The sequence below is a fragment of the Homo sapiens genome, chromosome 5 (genome assembly GCF_000001405.40).
Source record: "Homo sapiens chromosome 5, GRCh38.p14 Primary Assembly".
Classification (NCBI taxonomy): Eukaryota; Metazoa; Chordata; class Mammalia; order Primates; family Hominidae; genus Homo; species Homo sapiens.
Window position 1 is genome coordinate 3849837 of NC_000005.10, and position 7920 is coordinate 3857756.

Consider the following 7920-nt stretch of genomic DNA (forward strand, 5'->3'; position numbering starts at 1 on the left):
ATACAGATTTATATCTCACTCAGTAGTGTATAATGTACATAAAAGTAATAAAACTGCATTTAAATACACATTTTATAATTCAGGCTTATCACACTATTTTTCCTGAGTAGAAAGTTCTACCCATGGTTGAAAATGCATGCTAATTACCCAAGCCTGGTTTTGAAGGACCCAAACATCAGTCCAATAAACACTAGACAAATTTTCCAGGTTGAAAGGAATAGCATTGTTCTGTGTTAATGAAAAATAATAACAGGACCTCCGAGACCCACTGATCTCCCAATTCCATTTGACAAAGTATAGCCACTATTTCCCCCAGGGGGTGTAGGAACGCCTGTTTATTTGTTTGCTCATGCATTCATTCATTCTGAGCAGAATATGGCTCACCTTATGTGGCTGATGAGGGAAGGCACGGGTGGGCCGTGGTTGAGGATGGCAGGAGATGCAGACTTCGCATTACTGGTTGGTTGACATCCTGCAGTCAGGAATGAGTTTTTCCCGCCTCTGTGTTTTCTGAAGGAGACACAGACATGGGAATGGGGATGACCAGTAGGTGAGGCGAAGCTTAGCCAGGGTGCCATTAACCAGATCCAGAGCAGAAAGGTAACTTCAGAGTTTTTGCTCCTGTAAGTACTGCTCCTTGGTACAAGTATGAAGCTCCCTTTCTGACAGAGTCCTGATTAGGCAGGAGGGCAGCTTTTTTGTTTTTGCATTTTATAATTAACTATGTGTATGCTTTCTACACTGATTGCATTATAGGATTATTATCATAAAATCTTACCTCGTCACAGGAAATACAAAAGCATTGCATATGGAGAGTAAAATTGATTGAATGGATCATGAATGCCTAGTTCCAAGGCTGTGGATTTTAATTCTGATGAGGTCATGAAACCATTTATGCTCAAATTTTGTCTGCAGTCTAAGTACATACAGCTTTAGTAAGCCCTATCATATTAATGTTTAAAGTGCTGTGATAGGCTCTTTTAGTTATTAATATTGTTTATAGATACATGTGTACTGATAAAACGGTCCTTCAACCATACAGAAAGAAAACAAATATTATCACTCTAATGTTTAGAATTAATTCAAAAAGCAACAACGGAATCTCAATCTACAACCTCACATGGCATAAATACAAAAACAAGTATAGCTAATTGAATAACCAGCAATGTATATATTAAAATTAAAATTTTCTCATGCATTTATTCTTTAACACTCAGCTAATCAGAGCAATATTTTGAAAATGCTAATTCACATTCCCGAAGCCCTTTAATGTGATAAAAACTCCTCTTCCTCGCAGTGAGGAAGGGACCCTGTGGAACTTCCCCCTGAGCAGGATCATCACCGTCACTGCCTAACTTGCCCAGGGGCACGGGCAAGGTCCTAGTGCACAGTGCTGCATCCACACGGCCTCAAAGCAGCTCCTTGACTGTTCGGCAACCCCTGGCAAGAAAGCAGTTCCCCTAAATGCATTATTTTTTCTCACACATAAAACGTATACCTTCCATGGTAGCTTCATATTATATTTAAATGCAATTATATACCATAGTATGGCTCCTTAAGCTGAATATACAGGGTACAGTTCTACTTTTCCTTATCATAGAGGTAAACTGTTTAAATATCAATTATGCAACGACCCTCTATGTACTCTAGAAACAGATACAGGCTGTTCAACTTACATCCATGACTCTACTTGCCCTTTGATATTTTTTTTCCCCAAATTCATACGCTACTTTATTTTCTTTCTGCCCTTTCATCAGTATTAAGCAGCCTCCTTGCTTCTTTCCATAGTGATGGTCTGGGGCAGCTTTAATCTGCTGCTTCTGATCTTCTGTTCAATGAAAAAGAGTTAATCAGTGTGTTTGAATTGTACATAAAGAAAGTACATAGATACAGCCACTTGGGAAAACAGTCTGGCAATTCCTCAAAAGTTAAACATACAGCCCAGCACTCTCAGTACTAGGTATGAGCACAAGAGACATGAGAATACCTGTCCACACAGAAACGTGTCCATCAATGATCACAGCAGCATTATTCATCTTAGCCAAAACTCAGGAACAACCCAACTGTCCATCAATCAATGAATCAATAAATGAAATGAATGGGGTATATCCTTACCATAAAATACGATTCAACTACAGAAAGGAATGAAGCACGAAAGCGTGCATGCTATGACACGGTGAACCTTGGAAACATTATGCTAAGTGAAAGAAACCAGTCACAAAACAACACATCTCAAACGATTGTATTTATATGAAGAGCCATATTCAGAGATAGAAGGAAGATTAGTGATTGCCCAGGGCTGGGACCAGGGGGCAATGGATGGTGGAGTGATCATGAAAGGTTACAGTGTTTCTTTTTGATGTGATAAAAATGCTCTAATGTTGTCTGTGATGATGGTTGCCAAATTCTGTAAATATACTAAAAGCTATTTCACTGTACACTTTAAGGGAGTGAATTGTGTGGTAGTGAATTGTATTTCAATAAAGCTGTTACCAAAACAAAACAAAACAATGATTCATGAGCAGTGTGTTAGAGCCTGAGAAATACTGCTCTCCACTGAGTGGTCTGGCTGACTTACCAGATACTTAAACAAACTTTATTTTCTGACTCCTGCATATTTTCTGGAGAATGAGTTCTAAAACTACAACATTTGGAAAGTTAGTTAATTTGTTTTATGCAAAGAAGGATCTCCAGTGATTGAGATCCTTTACTTTAGCCCCACAAATGGAAATCTTGACACTCACGTGTGAAAGGGGTTAAGATGACACGTCAAGGGTAGCATGCTTGGGTGGAGCGGGGAAACAGAAGCTCTGCAGGTAGCGGGGCTGAGTCAGGTGGGAGGGGAAGGAGAAGCCTTGGAGTGCAGCTTCAGGAAGGGGGCAGGTGTGGCCGGACAGGCTGGCGGAGCAGCCCCTGAACAACTCTGCCACCGTGCGGGTGTCCTGCTTTCACATGGCTTCACTATGCACATACAGCACATGCAGACCTCACTGTCAGGGCACGTATAACCCTGGAAACCCTGGGGAAAGGCCCCTCTGCTGCGCCATGTCCTCCAGCTTCGCGCCTGCCGTGCTCCCTGTTCCCAGAGCCCAAAGAGAGACAAAAGTGGTCAGGAAATGTTTGGAGACCAAATGCAGGAGTCTAAAATTATACTGCACTCCCCAGAAAATACCCAAGTTTGATTTTTAATAATTCACAAATAACGAGTTACATGCACTACAAATTCCACTGTGATGCCATTTAACCAATGAAAAGAAATTCCGTCAAAAAGGAAAATCATTCCCTTGTTTTTGAACCCAGCCCTAAGCACGGAGTTGACGGGTCTAGTCACCTGCAGCACAACGGCTTACCCACTGAAAAGGAGCTTGTGACATTCTATCTTAGGAATATTCTAGCTTTATCTTAGAATAAATGGAATTCCCATAGAGCTTTGTCCTAACACTTGTGAGAACAGACAAGGTCAGACAAGCAGATGGCCAGAGACAGAGAACACCTAAGATCCTTCATTTTTCCTTCTAGCCATAAGAGGACACAGAACCCCATGCCACAGGGAAGGCAGGTTAAAACCGATCAATATTTTATGCCATCAGCCGGCCTGGCATATTACAGTTATGACACATCTTTAAAAGTACGAAGAAAGAGATAACACAATGACTGCACTAAAATGTCAAGAAGCGAGTCTGCCAGCGGCGATGGGCTTCAGCGTTTCCTCCCTCCACACGCAGTCCCTCCATGTCACCAACATGCTGGAGCTACGTAGGACTGAGCCTTCCCTGGTATTCCCGGAATCTCAAAGATCACAGCCTGTGCACAGAGGCTGCACATATTAATTTACAACAGGGGCAGGCGGGAAAATAAAACTCTGTGGTTCTTCTCTAGGGCAAGAATAGTTTAAACTAATATAAAAATAAAGACAAACAGAGAGATGGAGATGAAGACAAATGTGAAAAAGAGGAAGAAGGAGGAAGAGGAGGAGGGGGAGGAGGTCGAGAAGGTGAGAATTCCTGGTAAAACATAAGTAACATTTAACAAACAAACAAACAGCAACCTCCAAGTACCCGAGCATGCTGCTGGGACGGAGAGACTCATTTTCTCCGTTCCTTTTGGCAGTTTCTTTGCCTGCTGTAGATTGAAGAAAATAGGAATAAGCATCTTTCGACCCACAAACAGATGTGCTTGATAAAGAAAATGTCAGCAAAAATACTAAAGCAATGTGTCACAGCGGCTTTCTGACAGATAGAGGGAAAAGGTAAAAAATGTTCTATCATGTCCGACAAGGTGTTCTTTTTGAGATTTAAAGATCACTGTGCAACTTTAAACATGTTTGTCACTTTGGCTCTGACTACAGCTATCTGGAGCTTCAGAAGAACTTTATCAGCTCGGCATAGGGGGAAAGAAAGGAGCCCGTTCCCATTTATCTCAGCTCGGCTCCCTTCAAAGCCAACAAATAAATTACAGTGTACATTTGATACAAATTGATTTCTTAACTCAAATAACAATGTTGTCCTCCCGGTCGGGCTATGTGTCACTCACTCGCGAGCCTGAGTGAAAGGCTCAATCTGTCTGTGTGACAGAAATAGGCCTGGCGCGCTCGGGAGGAATGCTAATCGCCCGGGCCTGGCCCGGCTTTGTGGGCCGGCTGCGATAAGGGGGATCGGGCCCAGCCGCTCCCCACCAGGGCCCCATCCTGTCCGTGCCAGCGCGAGCCCTTGGCCTTGGGCTTGTCGGCCTATTTCACTAGGAAAATCAGATCCGGCCACCGTGGCTAGGATGCTCGTGGCCGGGATGAGCCGGAGCTGCAGTGAAAGGAAGCCCGTTGAGTGTCTTCAGCTGATGTTATCGGCCGCTGGAGAAATGAGATATTGGCAGGGCCTGCTGAGTCCCTCGCAGCTGAGCAGGTTAATAAGGTGGGGAGGGGGGCTGCAGGCTAATTGGATTTGGCCTGGCTTGATCAACAGTGTCAGGCCTGCTGCCAGGGAAGCATACACAGTGGCTTTCTCTTTGTTTAAATTTAAGCCGGGCGAGGAAAAGTCGCACTGCTCTTGTGAAGCTGAGGGTGTGCTCCCGAAATCCCATCCTCGTGGGCCCAGGGAGTGGCCCCCAGTCGCAGAAGTGCTTGGGGGTTTCGATCCTGGGTGCATGACCTTGCAGAGCTCTACCAGTTGGTGCCCATGAAGGCATCAGAACCCAAAAGGCTAACTGGAGGTGGGAGGCAACTAAGGTACTAGGCACTGGCCTACTGGGTCCACGCAGGTCTTCTGCACTGGCCTGTCCACACAGGTCTCCCTAATGGTGCCCGGAGAGAGCTGCTTCCTCTCTACTGTTAAGGAGGGACAGTCCTCCACTGTGCACACCTGTGCAGAAACATTTCCAATGTGTAGGAAGCAGGTGGATGGGTATCCTGTTTCTTAATCAGTCTTGACAGGCTTAGGGCTTGTCTTGACTTTAGAGCCAGGAATATTCCACAGAATCCCACCTCGTCCCCATCATCACCCCATCATGGGAGCACCTGTGGTTTGTAACATTCCTAGAACATTGACCTTCAATTAAACGATCAAGTCCTTCCAACATTCATACAACAGCACAGTCATTGATAATTTTATCCGGGATGCATTCTTCCAGTCAAGTTTAATGTATTGAAATTGAGAGGTGAGTTCAGACTGTTTATTTTTTTAAAAAAACTTTGCATTATGTAGCTTTGTCAAATCATTTCAGGGAATATCTTCTTTATCCAGAATCTCTAATCTAGCAGTTTGGCCTGTTCAAAGTCTTAGCCTCTGATAGTATATTATCCCTTACAGAGAAAGAGCACATTATCAAATGTGCAGGTGACAAATATCTTTTGCTAGGTACCTTGAAAATGTCCTACATCAGAAATGTTCAACTCTTAGCCAAGTAATAAAAATATAAACCAAGTTATGTAAGATTTTCCTAGTGGACACATCAGATAATGCTGATGTTTATGATTAATATCTTATTTAGTGTCTTTTTTTTTGGCCAGCAAAATTTATCCAGGGACAATTGCAATCAGGGTACTGAACTGGATTTTTAAAGGAGAAAAGAACAGTAGTGGGAGACTTACCCGCAAAGTGCACACTGTTTTCTTGATGTCAGTGTATATTGCTGGGAGCTCTGAGCAAGCTAATCCCACAATCTTCCTTCTGATGGGCAATTCTCTGTCAGTTAAGAGATGCTTGCAGGAATCAGGTAGTGCTTACAATATCTGCTCTGTTCCCAGTAAAGGTGACTTGGGAATGATGCTCCGACCCAAGGCTGTGCAGGCATCCCATGCCCTCTGTTTGCGTGTCTGTGTCTACTGGGTTGCCATCAGGGTGGCAAGAAGAGCACGGGCCTTTTCTGGGCCTGCTGGGAGGCAGCAGGATGGGGAGTGGAGAGCATGGCCCAGGCACATCTAGCTAACCCCAGAATGAGTCAAGAATGAACAAGCATAATAGGTTTCATCCCCAGACAAGTCTCTCTGACTTCTAGAAAAGGAGCCGGGGACTTGCAGAAAAGGCGCTCAGGGCATTTCCCCTGGGCAGGAGGGAGAGAAGCAGAGGGCAGGAGTGAAGTCTCCGCCAACACATGCTACTGACAAAGGGTATGAAGGGCACCTGCGCAGCAAGGAAGCCCCTCAATATATATTTATAAATATATATTTTTATAATTTATAAATATATATTTATAAATATATTTACAAATATATATTTATATATATAAATATATTTATATTATATATATTTATATTTTTATATTTATAAATTTATATTTATACATTTATGTTTTTGTATTCATAAATTTATATTTATACATTCATATTTTTATATTTATAAATTTATATTTATACATTCATATTTTTATATTTATAAATTTATATTTATACATTTATATTTTTATATTTATAAATTTATATTTATACATTTATATTTTTATATTTATACATTTATATTTATACATTTATATTTTTATATTTATACATTTATATTTATACATTTATATTTTTATATTTATACATTTATATTTATATATAAATATATACACACATATACACACATATATACACACATACATATATACACATATACATATATACACATATATACATATATACATATATACACATATATACATATATACACATATATACATATATACATATATACACATATATACATATATATACATATATACACACACACATTGCCTTTCAAGATATTAACTCAATTAATTTACGCAAATATTTATCAATCACCTACCATGTGTCTCAGGATACATCAGTGAACGACAGAGACTCTGATGCTCACGGGGCGTTCATCACAGCAGAAGACAATCAACACTGATTATCTATGTAATTGAAAAGTAAACTAAACAGTATATTGGCAGGTAATATGTGCCATGTATTAAAATAATTCATAGAGGGTGAGGGAAATCAATAGCTTGGGATAAATATTGCAGTTTTCAGTAGTGTGGTCAGGGTTGGCCTTACTGATAAGGTGCCCTCTGAGTAAACTTTGGGAGGAAGTGAGGGAATTAGCCACGCAGACACTGGGAGATGGGTGTTCTCACCACAGCACCAAGGTTCTGAGGTTGGGGGGACTGAGAGTGTTCCAGTAAACAGCCGGGACTGTGTGACCAGAGCCTGTGGGATAAGTGAAGATAAATTTCCCCCCGTCAGAGCGCTGGGAGGAACCTGGCTCTCACTCTGTGTGACATGGGAGTCAGCTGCAGGGCAGTTCAGCAGAAGACGGCTGCCATCTTGCACTTCAGGGCTCCCTTGGGCTGCTTGGTTAGCAATACACTGTAAGGGGCAATGACAGAGGCAGGGAGGCTACTGGAGGTTTGCAAGCAATGGAGGGAGAGATGACAAGTCTTTAACCGTGATGGTGACACAGGCTGTGTGACGTGTGATGTGATTTGTGC

At 41.9% G+C, this 7920-nt stretch overlaps 2 annotated features.

The window, feature by feature from the left end:
- Positions 2388–2920: an enhancer, noted in NCBI's record as "H3K4me1 hESC enhancer chr5:3852338-3852870 (GRCh37/hg19 assembly coordinates)". NCBI's record gives its function as "activates a minimal SCP1, AML or CMV promoter by ChIP-STARR-seq in primed H9 embryonic stem cells {active_cell/tissue: H9 hESC(primed)}" and the evidence as "EXISTENCE:reporter gene assay evidence [ECO:0000049][PMID:30033119]".
- Positions 2921–3453: an enhancer, noted in NCBI's record as "H3K4me1 hESC enhancer chr5:3852871-3853403 (GRCh37/hg19 assembly coordinates)". NCBI's record gives its function as "activates a minimal SCP1, AML or CMV promoter by ChIP-STARR-seq in primed H9 embryonic stem cells {active_cell/tissue: H9 hESC(primed)}" and the evidence as "EXISTENCE:reporter gene assay evidence [ECO:0000049][PMID:30033119]".